The sequence below is a fragment of the Homo sapiens genome, chromosome 11 (genome assembly GCF_000001405.40).
Source record: "Homo sapiens chromosome 11, GRCh38.p14 Primary Assembly".
NCBI classification, from domain to species: Eukaryota; Metazoa; Chordata; class Mammalia; order Primates; family Hominidae; genus Homo; species Homo sapiens.
The window spans coordinates 89,367,093-89,384,637 of NC_000011.10; the positions used below are offsets into that span (position 1 = coordinate 89,367,093).

General features: G+C 36.7%; 1 protein-coding gene across 8 annotated transcripts in view; it reads right to left on the reverse strand.

The window, feature by feature from the left end:
* NOX4 (NADPH oxidase 4) overlaps positions 1–17,545 on the reverse strand; it is a 265,205-nt gene that overhangs the window by 42,740 nt on the left and 204,920 nt on the right. For all 8 annotated transcript variants that reach the window (NM_001143837.2, NM_001300995.1, NM_001291926.2 and 5 more), the window contains 1 exon segment: positions 6,340–6,400. In NM_001143837.2, coding sequence (NP_001137309.2) covers positions 6,340–6,400 — 61 coding nt within the window.

Consider the following 17,545-nt stretch of genomic DNA (forward strand, 5'->3'; position numbering starts at 1 on the left):
AATAAGCCATGTTAAGTTTCATCATTATCCTAAATGATTTCCACATAGACTCACAAGAGGCCAGAACTACAGTGTTTCATTATACAAAGCATATATACTTTAAGATACAATAGGTTAATCCTCATCCTGACACAGATCCATCTAGATATATACACAGGTAGTTACATCTGTATTTGCCATTCATCTTCTGCTGCTAATCACAAGCCAGATCAGTATAAAAATCAATCATTCTCATAGTTCTGGGGAAATGTAGAAACAGGAAGAATTTAGCAATAGGCCCATTTGCTATGTGCCTCTTTTTGTACACTAACTCTCTCCACTTACTGGTCTCCAATGCCCTCAGTAATTCGCAGCAATATGTACCATCGCCAGACCTTTCCTTTGCATCTTCCTAATGACATGATTTTTATGAGGCTAACAGTGATATTGCTCAGTCTTATTTATTTATTTATTTATTGGCTTTTTGCAGCAATCATAGATCACTCCTTTCTCAAAACTCAAAAGATAAAGTCTTCCATTTGCTTGACACTAAAAAATCTTTAATGTGATGTGTTTGCCTCCAGCCTAGTCTTCTTCCTTTCTATTTGATATAACATTGGCAGGGTGACCCATATAAAGGGCAAATTTGATTTCAGTTCCTGTTTAAAACTCCTCAATATTTCACCAGCATCTTTTGGGAAACGACCAAGTTTCATAGCAAGATCTACAAGCTCTTCCTTGGCCTAATATTTGGATGCCACCCCAGCCAGGCCTCCCAATAGCATGACATTTTCCTGACATTCCAAGCTAGTTCACCCTTCTGAGCCATTCAAGCTATTTTTTCTCCGTGGAATAATCCCCCACTCTAGGCAAGTTCTATATATCTCTAACACTCAGTTTGACCCAGAAAGCCTCCCAAGTTTTCTTCCCAGAAACTTGTACATCTTCCATTTGCTCCTGGAACTATATCCTAAATCTCTCCAGCAATATAAAACTTCCTGTCTCCACTTCATTCTCATCATTCAAATAAGTGTATAAATATATTATAACATAATTAGTATATTGTTATAATTATTATAAAATAATCATATATCTTTAACTTATATCTTCTTCGTCCTTATTTCCTCCTTTCAGCTGCTGACTTATTTCTTTATTTCACTTTACATACAAACTTCTTAGAATTTGTCCAGTGGTATTCTGGCAAATGTTTAATAGCCAGGTCTAATGATAGATAAATACATAAGACCTACTTTATGGTTGTCTTTGTTAGAGAGCTGCTATAACAAAATACCACAAATTAGTTAATTTATAAACCACAGAAATTTATTTATCACAGTTCTAAAGGCTGGGAAGTACAAGATCAAGGCACCAGCAGCTTTGATGCCTGGTAAAGTCTGCTCTCCGCTTCTAAGCTGGTGCCTTACTGCTGTGTCCTTACATAACAGAAGAGCAAAAGAGCAAAGGGGGAGGAACACACATGGTAGAAGAGCAGAAGAGAGTCAATCAACTCCCTCAATCCCTTTCATAAGGCACTAATCTAATCCATGAGGGCTTTATTCTCATGATTTAATCATCACCTAAAAGTCCTACCTCTTAATATTATCATATTGGTGATTAAATTTCAATATACGAATTACAGGGGACACATTCACACCATGGGAATGATGTTGGTCAATTTCTGTGGAATAACTACTATCACTGTGAGTGATGGGAAGCTATCAGACATGACTTCACTGACTATGGAGGTGGGAAGAGAAGCACTTCTCTCAAGCCCTAGGAGGTAACCCAAGCATACTGCCAGACTGGTCTATACTTAACAACTCCACATCCTCTCTTACTTTATTGCCTCTTAAACTTTTTAAAGATATATTTTTATAGATATAAAATACTCTCTTACTTTTATTATCTCTTAAACTTTTTTAAGATATATATTTTTAAAATAACTCATTTATGGAGCTATTTTAAACCTGTTCTTTAGTCCTTGTATGCTGCAAATGCAATTCCCCTATATATTTCTCCTCTTTATTCAGGGCTCTGTTCAGAGAGCTTTTCTAACCTTGTGTAACAGTGCAGATCCAGGCAGAAACATGACTGCATAAGTTAAGTGGAAGAAGTTCATTAGAGGGAACTAATGACTCAGGTGAGGGAAGAAGTGAGAAGCCAAATTGAGGATGGTGAAAAAATACAAAGAGTGGAAGAAAATTACTACCATCCACAGGGGCTGGGAGGACATAGGGTATAGGTGAGGCTACTACAATCTATAAACCATGGCTAAGTGGCAGGAGATAGAGTCACACCAAAACATCTCCAAAAAAAATGATAAACTCCCCATGGACCAAAACACAATCTCTATAAGAGCGGAGACTTTGTCACTTTTGCTCAATGCTGTATCTCCAGTGACTAATAAACAGTCTGGAACACAGTAGCTGTTTAACATACATTTGATTATTAGCCAAAGTTAATAGTTTAAATATTATCTTCCACAAATGACTAATCGTTGTAATTCACTAGTCATGGCAACAGCAACAACAAAAAGAGTACTTCCAGGCACTCCTTTGGGTATATAGCAGTTGATAATGAATATTTGTTATAAGCTTAAAGTTTACATTGTATGAATATGAATTATGTAAAATCTGTGAGATTCCATATATCCAAATATGATTTATTTATTTATTTGTTTGTTTGTTTGTTTGTTTATTTATTTATTGGCTTCTTGCAGCAACCAAAAGCCATTCACAGTGATATCTAGTGCAAGGTGGTTGATGTAATTGGCCTAAAATATGTTGTCATAATAAAGTAATAACATTAATATAAATTAGTGTGGTTATAATCTGACTTACAAGGAGTTTCCAAAAATGAAAAAAAAAATACTTTAAACACGTAACACATGTTCTGTTTAAATCTTTTCATGAAAAATCTGAATAAAGCCTATAACACGACTGGCTCCTACAGTGATATAGAAACAAATAAGAGAGTTATCAACTCTTTTGTGGCCCAGTCCTTAACTAAACCTATATTTAAGATTACTTGCACTGTGAGAAGTCAATATATTATGTGACTGAGGCAAATCCACAATAATATATGGCCCTGTCTTCTCATTTTTAATCCTAAAAGATAACCATATCTTCTCACTGTAGAAAACTTTTCCAGTAGACAACATGGGAATTTATACCCAAGATTCATAGAAACATCATGTGATACATGCTACAAGTCCTTTATTGAATATTTACTCACAATTATTGCTAATTCATTAACTGCTGAAGGGATCAATGGCAGAAAGTTTACATTAATTACATGTGGATGTTATGTATTTAATTCTGTTGTAGCACAACACAAACACCTGTGGAATAAGTGGCTATTTAGACCACCAAAATAAGCAAGGGTATAGCATTATCTCAGACATTAATCAATACTAATCATATGTAACGAAGAAATTAACAAAACATTTTTGTACACTTAAAATGATAATCAAGTCAATAATCTCTGACCATATGTTTGAAACTGGAAAGAATGGCTGCTTCTAGAAGAGCAATAAGGTATTCATTCAATTAAAAGAGAAATCTACTTGGGTAATCCACTCCATCTACTGTACTAGCATCATTTCAAGAAAAAACACTGAATCATGTCTAAAATGTTTTAAGGGTCTTCTAAACTTTAACAGGTCTTCCACGTATCTAGGAGATGCAATTAGAGGTCTGGTGAAAATGAAAATCTAGACAACAAATATGAGACTTGGTGCTTCTTTGTCTTGTGCCGCATAGCTGCTTCCCTTGCTCCTCCAGCACTCTATAGCTAGGTATAGTTGATTAGTCTTGGAGAGATCATTTCTGGAGCTATTTTAAACCTGCTCTTTAGTCCCTGTATGCTGCCAATGCAGAACATATTTCAGCAAATAAAAAGTCATATTAAATATCTCTAAGTCAGTTTTAAAAAAATAAACCTTTGATATTCAACCTCTTAGGTATCTCTTTGGTATTTCCTATACCTACTGCTCTTAATACCGAGTTTTAATCAATTCTTTTAGAATAAAAACCAATGATTCTTGATTTTGAAGGTAATGCTCCTACTTTTCCTTCAATAGTTGTAATCTCATTGTTGTAAGGCAGCTAAATCTCTTTGAACTAAAGTGTCAGATAATGACATGACTATTTAGGTGTTCTCTGCATGACTGCTTATATTTTTTTCCAAGTCAACAAATATTTCAAGTCAACAACAAAGAAGGTCTATTAATTGAAAAGCATCTGACTAGAACTGAACTCTGAATAGAATGATCTTGTTTCTCTCAGTGACATAATACATTAAAAAGGGAGAATAAAATTAACACTATTAAGTGTTCCTAATAGAGATGATTAAAATAGTAAGACATCATTTATTTTAATGAGCTACTGGTAATAAAAAATAACTTTGTGAAAAAACTCAGTAACAATAGCTAATAATAAACCATCAGGAGTTTCTGCTTAATCTTATGAATTAAATTATGTTTTCATTGCATGTTTTCTTTCAGATATAGAATTCTATCAATTTACCATTCATGACTGAATTTAATTCCTACTATATTGGGATTCTCACCAGAAAAGAACTTTCCTTATTTTTTATTTCCAAAACAGTAGAAAAAAAAAACACTGTGATAATATCAACTTATATTGGGCATATTGTGATTATTCATATGTTCATACTCCACCAGTGTATACCTATCAGAGGACGACCATGATCTCTTTTGAATGCTACCATCTGAAAATTATCCATGTAAGCCTGGTTTTTCATGACTCTGAATGAGTTATTACTGCTCAAAGATCTTTTTAATTCACTTAGATGTTTGCCCATTAAATCCTATGTTGCAGATTTCCTTCCTTTTTTTTAAGTCTCCAATTCCAAGCTGGCTACCCTTTCTAAAGACATTACATTTTATACATACCAATATTATTTTTTTTAACTCTATGAAATAACCTCCTTATATAAACTATTGTTCTCCTCATTTCAAAACACATCTTTCTTATTATCCAACATCTTATCCTTCCCTGGTTTTTAGAGATATTAGGTTCTTCCTTCTAATGCTACCTTCTTAACTTGTATTCACAAATCCATTACTTCCAATTTCCATCCCCACCCCTCCACTGCCTCCTTCCCCTCTGCCTTTAAGTACCTTCAAGTCTTCCCTTGATTTTAATCTGTCCAACTAGCAACTTAATTAATACCATTTTCATCATAGTGCTTCAAATGCTTCAAAAATTCCCTAAAGTCCCTTGGTTACTCTAATATTTTGCTGAGGCATTCATAATCTTCACCAAGCTGGCCCTAAATGGCTTTTCTGTGCTACTACCCAGAACAAAATCTTTGCTTTTGTTTGATTGACTTTGTCTTTGTTTCATTTTGTTTGATTGACTTTGCTTTTGTTTAATTGATTAAAGACTGATTGGATTCATCCTTTCCAAAGAGAGTTAATCATTGCCTTTCCTGATTTTTGACAACACTGTGACTTTCACTTAAATTACCTACATCTTTCTTCATTTGCCTGACTCCTAAGCTTCAGTTCAAATTCTGTCTTTTCTGTGAAGCTTCTCTTACAGCCCTAGACCACATTTAATCTACACTTTTCTGGTTCCCTACAGATTTTACTTACCAACTCCTCGTTTAGCACCTAAGTATAAGAATATTTAAATTTACTTTTGCATTCATGTTTATATCTGCATTCTTTCCTGTAACAATAACATAACCAACCAACTAACAAGCCAACATTTACTGAGTACTCACTTGTCAGTTACTCTGGCGGGTCAAGGAAATATTAATATAAGAGAGAATAATGTTTCTTTTATTTACTCAAAGCTCTTACTACAATGCATCTCTCAGGTAATAAAAAGTATTTACTGAAGACAAGTAAAGTATCACCAACAGGCCTGCTGTGAAAAATATCTATTCCAAAGTTACTGTGAAGTTGCCCTATATACTGGAACACCACAAAAAATGTCATGCAAGAACTGGAAGATTTGTGTGATCTCAATATCAGGTGTTGATTATTTTGACTCATGTTTTCTAAGAAACACATTTCAGCATTCCCACTATTGCCAGCACACCTGACAAGTAGGTAGAAACTTATGATTTGCAAGCACACTGAACAATATATTATTAATAATTACTGATATCAAAGGTATTCTGATTGCAAAAATGCATCTTAAAAGAGAAAACACAGATGTCAAAACTGTACAAGCAAAAAAAAAAAAAAAAAAAAACAAAAAAAAACCCAGAACAGCTTGAAACACATACACATCTCTATACATGCTGGTAGTTATATTAAAACACATTCAAATTATTACATTCCACTATTTTCAAAGAATGTATCTTAAAACTGTATGTTCTACATACCTGTCCAGTCTCCTACTATTTTAAGATGAACCCCAAATGTTGCTTTGGTTTCAGTTGGACACTAAAAAAAAATACTAGAATCAATTGTGATTAATAATTACATAATATGAAATTATAATTCAATTACAACTTTTATCCTGATAGCAAGTCCCCCATATCAATAGATAACAGGAAGGAACAGACTAAAATCTATACAGATCCTTATTAGTGGAAGAAAAAAAAATCAATGTCAACAGGTCAGTAAGACAATCTACATTTCTCTAAAACCCAAAAATACTTATGTAAAACAATAAATTACACACGTTAAAATTGCTAGTGTATTTCATTTAACTACAAATCTTGCTAAAACATCTTCTAAGTTAAAATATATATAAGAAAAGCCAGTTTTAAATCACAAAGGAAGAAACAAAAACTAATGCTTTTTTGTGTCATTTTCTCCCTAGATAATATATACTTACCCTAACAAATTCCAGGGAGAAAAAAATTCTTAATGTGACATTAATTTTCCATGCCCAACAATTATGCTCCTACAGAAATAACTCTATTTCATTCCCTCCCTTAATTCTCAGAAGACATCTGGAGTGGTGAGGGTAGCTGGGGAGAGGGATGAGTTGTGGAAGTGTAGGTAAAAAAAGTGCTTTATGGTCCCATATTTAGGAAACCTAGAAAACATCCAGGTAGTCAAAATGAAAGAACAAAATTTAGTTTACAATAAGAAAAATGAAAAATTTCTTCTTGTTTTCTGGATTCCTACTCACTTACCCTCGATTCCAAAATTTGAATAATGGTTTTTTCATAACTCATTTGGTAACAATACCTGACTTTAATTAATGGGAGGCTAATATTTCTGTGTAAAAATTCACACATAAGCATTGTCCTACAGAATTATCCACTTGTTTGAGATGCTGACTAACATCCTGTTGGATATATTAAGTACGATATGAAATATGCATACCTTTTAAAGTCCATAAATTCTGAATTCTAAAAATGCATCTAAACTAAGGGCTATGGGTAAGGGACCATCTGCCTGCGACTACCCAGCTTTTATCAAGTACCATGTGTCACGGGAAGTGTTAAGTGATTTATTTTCAAAATCTACAATAACTTTACAGAGTTGTCTTTTATAGATAAGAAAATTGAGTAATTAAGGCTTAAAATATTGACTTGCCCAATAAAAAGACAAGACAAAATTTGGATCCAGGTCTCTTAATTCTTAATTATTGCAGGTCACTGTCTCTATTAAAGTAAAGATACATAAAATGGGTGAGAGTTGCATAAGAAATCAAACGAAATAGGAGGAAAAAAGGCATGTGTTGATCATTAGTAGAATTGGTATGCCACAATATGAATTAAAAGGAAATAAGGGCTGAAGTTATGGCACAGGTGAAAGAAAATGGCAGTGGAAGGGCCCTGTGATTAGCGATTGGGTTACATAAAGCAAGTCCAAGACTTCAGAGCTCACTGTGCTGACTAGTTAATGTAGGTCTTGTAGGGATGCTATAAGGAGAGAAATAAATGAAGATAAAAGTACCATATCTTATGTTAACAACTCATTAGGCAAAAAGGAACGGTAGCCTGAAAAATCAGTGAAAACACTAAATATAAAGGTAGGTATTTGTCATTGATTCATAATAAATTATGAACAAACTGAAAGCACATAATCTATGTCCAAGGTTTGGAATTAATGTACCATGGAATGTCCAAGCTACTACTTTACAATCAGTGTTTCTTATAGGATTTTTACTGCTAACAGTAGTATAAAATATTAAAATTGAAATATTTTTAAATAACATTGTTTAAATATTTGTATTATTAAAATTATTTTATTTATAAGTGTGATTCTGTACTTAATTGTTTTATTTACATTGTAACTTTTGTTGTTGTTGTTGTTGATAGTTGAGTCTTACTCTGTCACCCAGGCTGGAGTGCAGTGGCACGATCTCGGCTCAATGCAACCTCTGCCTCCCAGGTTCAAGCGATTCTCCTGCTTCAGCTTCCCAAGCAGCTGGGATTACAGGCATGTGCCACCATGCCCAGCTATTTTTCTTGTGTTTTTAGTAGAGTTTGGGTTTCACAGTGTTGCCCAGGCTGATCTGAAACTCTTGGCCTCATATTATCCATCCACCTCAACCTCCCAAACTGCTGAGATTACAGGCATGAGCTACCACACCCAGCCCACACTGTGATTTTTAATAACTCTGAAAGCAAACAGTTTTGTCATCAGTAAATCTCCAAATAAAATATTATCTGCAAAAACCACCCACGATTTAACTATATACTACTGAAGGCTGACCAGAGTCTCTGTATAATAAAAGTTGTAGCTCTCAGAACGCAAGATACCCAACAGAGATCTGAGCTACCAATCCGATTGTCCACATGTCACTGGATGTCCTTCACTGTGAACTAGATCTCAGGTTATGAAAAGATGACCTATAGCCAAGAAGATATCAGAATGGAAGGCAAAGAATGTTTGTCCTTGTGTGCCTGAGGGCAAATGTGGCTTGAGTTAATCTCATAATGCATTCTAAAATAAAATACATATTTTGCCAAATATTCATATCTCTATTCAATTATTTCAAAGCAGATACTGTAAAAGGTAATTACACACAATGTTTAATATCTCACTGGGTCTCATAGGAAACTGTAAACTTCTCCCTTCTAAGTACCAGTCCAAGGTATCAATATATCTTCGAATGCTAATCTGGTTTTGAACGGATAAAACAAAATATTGTTTCTCTCAACCTCTTGGAAATGAAGTCTTTATAAGTCACTGATACTTCTCCAAACTAAGACAGACTTTAACAGTCTTTAAGCATGTAACCTCATATTTGCAAGGAGGCTTCACAGAATAACATAAAGAATGAATTCAGTATATGTGGTTTGAAAACGTGAATGAAGATCTTAGAATCACATTTTAGTATCTTTGCATAAAAAATATCCAGATTCACTAATATTGCCTAGATCACATTGTGGTGATTCATTGTTTTCTCACTGTCTTTTTGTTTTAGAAAACATCTCAAAGGGAAGAAATAATACAAGTATTGATATCTACAGCTCTATCGTTCTCCTAAAACATGAATTAAAAGATATGCTTATGGCAATTTTTCAGTTAAAAAGTTACAGTATAATATGTGTAGTTAAGCACATATTAATATTAAAATAAAAACATGGCTGGCCGCAGTGGCTCACGCCTGTAATCCTAGCACTTTGGGAGGCCGGGGCAGGTGGATCACAAGGTCATGAGTTCAAGACCAGCCTGACCAAGATGGTGAAACCCTGTCTCTACTAAAAATACAAAAAATTAGCCAGGCATGGTGGTAGGTGCCTGTGGTCCCAGATACTCGGGAGGCTGAGGCAGGAGAATGGTGTGAACCCAGGAGGTGGAGGTTGCAGTGAGCTGAGATCACGCCACTGCACTCCAGCCTGGGTGACAGAGCGAGACTCCATCTCAAAAAATAAAAATAAAAAATTCAAAAATTAGCTGGGCATGATGGCAGGTGCCTGTAATCCCAGCTACTTGGGAAGCTGAGGCAGGAGAATCACTTGAATTCAGGCGGCAGAGGTTGCAGTGAGCTGAGATCGCACCACTGCAGTCCAGCCTGGGCGACACAGTGAGATTCTGTCTCAAAATAAATAAATAAATACACGCATAAAAAATAAAAAGACAGATATTTGTGCTTTTTTTCTCATTGAAGAGATTTATATAATCAAATTTTAGGAATACTAACTTGGGAAGTATAATTGAAGACAGAGAAAACAAGAACTCTTACAATCATTTCATACACATCTATGCTTTAAAATTTATCACAAGCCTTTGCTATGATAATAATTTTAAGTATTTTGAAATTTTAATTTAACTGTAAACATGAAAATGTTGCTGAATCTATCTAGTTCCTTTGACATAAAGTTTGGATCATGTCGACCTTAATATAAATTCTAGAATACACATTCACCTAAGTCTAAGGATAAGAAAAATAAAAAGTGACAATCTGACTGTAACAACAGATCTGGAGAAATACGTATTTTAATATCCTGGAGAAAATATAACCTTTACCTTCCAATTATTTCTTCAATATGGCATTGGGTTTTTAATGTGCACAAATGACTAATAATTTTATAACAGTCCCACAAAATATAAAAAGATATTTGTAACTTGTCATATGTTTGGGAATTAAATGTAAAAATGATGTAACTGCACATTATTTTTAAATAAATATGAATTTATTCAATATAAAAAATTACAAGCTGCATTTTTTGTTTGTAAAGAAGCGCCTTTTAATAAAAATCAAAAATGATTCCAAAATAGCAACTTTTCAAAAACTAAATGTGTTAAACCTGAGAAAGTGATCACATAATATGATGTTCTTTAATCATTTTTGTTGTCTTTATTTTAACCCTTTCTTCCCAAGTTCTTAGTTTCATATTTTCTACTGCATGTTAGACATTTATACCTGAAATTCACTCTAAATTTACTATATCTAAAATTACTATTATCCTATTAATACTTCCAAAACTATCTTCTCCTAATTCCCATATATCTGGAAATAGAACCTACATCCTTCTCAGAGACTCAAATCTCTCTGATACCACTTATTTCTCTTGCCAGCATTCAATCACCTTTCATTTCTTTCCAACAGGCTTCCCAAAGAAAATGTCTGATCACAGCAATCTCCTATGGATTAACCTTTTGTGTCACCCTGTGAAAAACCACCCATATTCTTTCTGTCCTATTGCCTATGGCCAAGCACATCTGTTTCAAATTCTTTCTGGCTTTATATTCCATGTTTCTCCTTTTTTTACTCTAATTGAGCTAAACGAATACTTATCAACCAATACATTTTCTCGTCCCTTCATCTTCACACATGCTAGCCTACTCATTTAGAGTGACTTCCTTTCCATTTCTTAGGTTGAATCCCAGTAACTGTTCAAGGCTTATCTTAAAGCCATCATTTCATAAAGATATCCTAATTTTTCTTGCCAAGAAAATTCTCACTCCCCTGAACCCTTAAATTATTAGTACGACTCTTATGCTCCTTATTACAGTCTAGCCCTTTATTTTTACATGATTTTTCTATATTAATAAACTGTAAATGTCTTGAGATCAAGAACTATTTCTAAATCAGTATTATATATTCCACAGCACCTTACACATAGAAGGTATCAGTTGAATAAATATTATAATATCAATGGAATAGTAAATACTGGAAGAAAAATATAGGAGAAAAATATAGGAAGAAAAATATGGGAGAATTAACCTCCTATAAAAATATAGGAGAATAAAAACGTCAAAGGTGGGCAGCTCTTCGAGAATTTATTTATTCACTCAAGAAATATTTATTTAGTGTCCAAAATACTCCAGAGACTATTATGCTAGGAGCTCATGCAATTTCACAAGTGAAGATTGCTCTAAATGTCTGAGAGGAGATCACGCGGAGCACCGAATCTCCCACAATTAATGCAACATCATGACAGTAAACATTTTGACAAATTAAAACTTTAATGCTTTTGCATTTGTATGAAAGAAAAAAGTGTTTAATTGTATATTTGAATGAAAAATATATTCAATATTAAAAAGAAAGATTCTGGAAGAATATGCAAGTGGAATTTTTATTAACTTGGATTGAACGTGTGCATTTATCTCAGGTCCCTTAGGCAAACAGAATACTAAAATAACAATTTAGAGATATAAAAATAGATGCCACAATGGCAAAAATAACATGGGGAGTGATAAGAATAATAAAGAGATGTCAACACATTTTTGAAAAGTGACAAGTGGATGAGGTAGCCATTTAGGAACTGACTAAACAAAACATATGAAACCAAAGTCTCATTGCCTTCAAACAGAGATTACCTTGAGAAGTAAGCCCATCTTTTGATCACAACACTGGAAAAACCCAGGTCTCAGTGTAATAGGAGGAAGTTAGAGTTGGGGCTCATCATTAAAAAAAAAAAAATCTGTTTGTGTCTGTATATGGGGTAATTTTATCCCCAGATTCACTTTGCTCTGATCACCAGCCATGTAACTACTACTCCACAAACCCAAAGACAAGGAGACGTGAAACACAAAGCCTCTATGTATAGAAATAACTGGTCGTGGAAGGCAGGGCTGAGATGCCAGTCATTTGCTCAATAAATATTTAATGAAAGCACTCTAAGTGTCATCTCAAAATAACACTTCCTAAGTGGAGTTGCACAAATTTCCATCAGAACCTCCTCTCCAACCCCAACCTTCCCTATCTCAGTTAATGAAATTCCAGTTGCTCGGACCAAAAACTCTGGGGTCAGCCTTGACTTCACTTCCTTTCACATTATATACAATCCATGGAATACATTTTGTTAACTCTAACTTTAAAATATATTCAGAATATGACCACTTCTCACCATTTCCACTATCACCACCCTGGTCAAAATCATCATCATACTTCGACTAGATGACTGCAACAGCTCCTAACTGGACCCCCTGTTTCTGCACTTGCTTCCCCTCATCTACTCTTAACACAGCAGCCAGAGTGATCCTGTTGAAAAGTAAGCCATATCATGTCATTTCTCCATTCACACTCTCCCACAACTCCTTTATCAATCAAAGTAAAAGCCAAAGGCCTAAATGTTCTGGATATATGAGCCTGAATTACAGAGTTAAAATCTGGGCTAGGAATATAAACTTGGGACATGAAGCATATGGATGTATCAACAAGATGAGAGAGACTACCAGAGAAATGTGTACAGCTAGAGAGAAAGAGAGGTTGAAGAAATGAACACTGGTATGTTGTAATACTTAGAGCTTGTGGGGATGATAAGGAACAACAAAAATAGACTGAGTAAAAATAGCCAGAAAATGTGGAGAAAAACAGGTAAGTGGAAAAAAGTGTTTCAGTAAAGTGAATGATCAGCTGTATTAAGAGCTGCTTATTGGTCAAACCCATTGAAGAGTGAGAACTGAACAATAACATGGTCACTGCTGAACCTGGACATTTTTAGTAGTGTGCTTAAATCAACAATCAAAAGATGGTTGATTTAAGAGAATGAGAGGAAAGGAACTGGATTGCTGAGAGAGGGAGCAGTAGCTAGAAGGGATGTGAGTCAGGAAAGAAACTTTCATTGATCATTTCCTTTTGGTACTTAGGTAAAAACAGGCACCCAAAAATAAGGATTGAATAAATTAAGCTCAATATTCAATAGATTTACCCTAAATACACTAACCTTCTAAAGTTCATACTTATCATGTAGACTCTTATTAGACACTAAGGGAATATTTTTATTTCCCTTGGAAAAAAGCCAAACTAGAGCAGTTAGATGATGTTTACATCTCAAGAAACTCAGATGTCCTATTAATTTTTCATGAACATTAATCATCTTCTCAGGAAATTTTCACCACTTTGCTTCATCTATGGTTAAGATAACATTGTCACCATGCTAACCTATCATGTATCCCAGCTGATTTTTGACAAGCAATAAAATTATGAAAACATAGAGCAAAACAATTTTTAAGATTTAAATAGTTGAGAGCAAGACCAGAGATCAAAACTGCTGCAGATGTCCTGGTTTCATTTAAACCCACTAAATTAAATAAACAATAGCAACAAAATGTTGCCAGTCTTTGTGAGATCCATAGCCATTCTTGCCTGGTTTTCTTTGAAAACGGGAAAAACTATTCCTGGAAAAACTCTTCCCAAAGTGACTGGTTAAAAGATTAAAAACACAAAGTAGAAAAATGATGGCTAGTGCAGGCATGCTATGTAAAAGTACAGACAATAACAAACTAACAGCTAGACATGCCTCTGACTCATGGAAAAATATGTGAAATCAGGTTATTCAAGCTTAAAAACAATGAATCACACAAGTTAGAATACAGATGTCAGGAAAGCATGTTTGTGTCAGGCCTCCGAGCCCAAGCCTGCACGTATACATCCAGATGGCCTGAAGTAACTGAAGAGTCACAAAAGAAGAGAAAATGGCCGGTTCCTGCCTTTGATGACATTACCTTGTGAAATTCCTTCTCCTGGCCCAAAAGCTCCCCCACTGAGCACTTTGTGACCCCCATCCCTGCCTGCCAGAGAACAACCCCCTTTAACTGTAATTTTCCATTACCTACACAAATCCTATAAAATGGACCCAAACCTATCTCCCTACCTTGGCTCTCTTTTCAGACTCAGCCCATCTGCACCCAGGTGATTAAAAAGCTTTATTGCTTAGCTTAAGCAAAGCCTGTTTGGTGGTCTTTTCACGCTGACATGAGTGAAATTTGGTGCTGTGATTTGGATCGGGGGGACCTCCCTTGGGAGATCAATCCCCTGTCCTCCTGCTCTTTGCTCCATGAGAAAGATCCACCTACAACCTCTGGTCCTCAGACCAACCAGCCCAAGGAACATCACCAATTTTAAATCGGGTAAGCAGGCTCTTTTTACTCTTCTCCAGCCTCTCTCACTATCCTTCAACCTCTTTCTCCTTTCAATCTTGGTGCCACCCTTGGGTCTCTCTCTTCTCTTAATTTCTGTTCCTTTCCTTTTCTGGTAGAGACAGAAGAGATGCATTTTATCCGTGAACCCAAAACTCCGGCACCAGTCACGGACTCGGCAAGACAGTTTTCCCTTGGTGTTTAATCACTGTGGGGACACCTGTCTGATTATTCACCCACGTTTCAGAGGTGTCTGATCACCGCAGGGACTCCTGCCTTGATCCTTCACCTTAGTGGCAAGTACCACTTTCCTGAGGGGGGAGGGCAGGTACCCCCCACCCCTTCTCTCCGTGTCCCTACCCTTTCTTTTCTCTGGGCTTGCCTTCTTCACTATGGGCAACCTTCCACCCTTCATTCCTCCTTCTTCTCCCTTGGCCTGTGTTCCAAGAACTTAAAGCCTCTTCAACTCACACCTGACCTAAAACCTAAATGCCTTATTTTCTTCTGCAATGCCACTTGACCCCAATACAAACTCGACAATAGTTCCAAATAGCCAGAAAACACTCTCAATTTCTCCATTGTACAAGATCTAGATAATTTTTGTCGTAAAATGGGCAAATGGTCTGAGGTGCCTGACATCCAGGCATTCTTTTACACATTGGTCCCTCCCTAGTCTCTGTTCCCAATGCGACTCATCCCAAATCCTTCCTTCCCTCCCACCTGTCCCCTCAGTCCCAACCCCAAGTGTTGCTGAGTCTTTTCAATCTTCCTTTTCTACCGACCCATCTGACTTCTCCCCTCCTCCCAAGACTGCTCCTCCTCAGGTCACTCCCTGCCAGGCTGAATCAGGCTCCAAATCTTCCTCAGACTCCACTCCCCCACCCTATAATTCTTCTGTCACCTCCCCTGTTCACACCCAGTCTGGCTTACAGTTTTGTTCTGTGACTAGCCCTCCCCCACCTGCCCAATAATTTCCTCTTAAAAAGGTGGCTGGAGCTAAAGGCATAGTCAAGGTTAATGCTCCTTTTTCTTTATCCAACCTCTCCCAAATCAGTTAGCATTTAGGCTCTTTTTCATCAAATATAAAAACCCAGCCCAGTTCATGGCCCATTTGGCCACAATTCTTAGACCCTTTACCGCCCTAGACCCAGAGGGGCCAGAAGGTCATCTTATTCTCAATATGCATTTTATCACCCAGTCAGCTCCTAACATTAAAAAAAAGCTTCAAAAATTAGAATCGGGCCCTGAAACCCCACAACAGGAATTAATCAACCTCGCCTTCAAGATGTTCAATAACAGAGGAGTTGCAATTACTTGCCTGTGCTGTAAGAGAAACCCCAGCCACATTTGCAGCACACAAGAACTTCAAAACGCCTAAGCCACAGCGGTCTGGGATTCCTTAAGGACCTCCTCCCTCAGGATCTTGCTTCAAGTGCCAGAAATCTGGCCACTGGGCCAAGGAATGCCTGCAGCCCAGGATTCCTCCTAAGCCATGTCCCATCTATGCGGGACCCCGTTGGAAATCAAACTGTCCAACTTGCCCAGCAGCTACTCCCAGAGCCCCTGGAACTCTGGCCCAAGGCCCTCTGACTGACTCCTTCCCAGGTCTTCTCGGCTTAGTGACTGAAGACTAATGCTGCCCGATCGCCTCTGAAGCCTCCTGGACCATCACAGACACTTTGGGTAACTCTTACAGTGGAAAGTAAGTCCATCCCCTTCTTAATCAATACGGAGGCTACCCACTCCACATTACCTTCTTTTCAAGGGCATGTTTCCCTTGCCTCCATAACTGTTGTGGGTATTGACAGCCAGGCTTCGAAACCTCTTAAAACTCCCCAACTCTGATGCCAACTTGGACAACATTCTTTTATGCACTCCTTTTAAGTTATCCCCACCTGCCCAGCTCCCTTATTAGGATGAGACATTTTTACTAAATTATCTGCTTCCCTGACTATTCCTAGGCTATAGCCACACCTCACTGCCACCCTTTTCTCCAGTTCAAAGCCTCCTTTACATCCTCCCCTTGTATCTCTCCACCTTAATCCACAAGTATAGGATAACTCTACTCCCTCCTTGGGGACTGATCATGCACCCCTTACCATCCCATTAAAACCTAATCACCTTTAACCCACTCAACACCAATATCCCATCCCACAGCAGGCTTTAAAAGGATTAAGGCCTGTAATCACTCGCCTGTTACAGCATGGCCTTTTAAAGCCTATAAACTCTCCTTACAATTCCCCATTTTACCTGTCCAAAAACCAGACAAGTCTTACAAGTTAGTTCAGGATCTGTGCGTTATCAACCAAATTGTTTTGCCTATCCACCCCATGGTGCCAAACCCATATACTCTCCTATCTGCAATACCTCCCTCCACAACCCCTCTACAACCCATTATTCTGTTTTGGATCTCAAACATGCTTTCTTTACTATTCCTTTGCACCCTTCATCCCAGCCTCTCTTCGTTTTCACTTGGACTGACCCTGACACCCATCAGGCTCAGCAAATTACCTGGGCTGTACTGCCACAAGGCTTCACGGACAGCCCCCATTACTTCCGTCAAGCCTAAATTTCTTCCTCATCCATTACCTATCTCAGCATAATTCTTCATGAAAACACACATGCTCTCCCAGCTGATCATGTCTGGCTAATCTCCCAAACCCCAACCACTTCTACAAAACAACAACTCCTTTCCTTCCTAGGCATGGTTGGCTACTTCTGCCTTTGGATACCTACTTTTACCATCCTGACTAAACCATTATATAAACTCACCAAAGCAAATCTAGGTGACCCCATAGATCCTAAATCCTT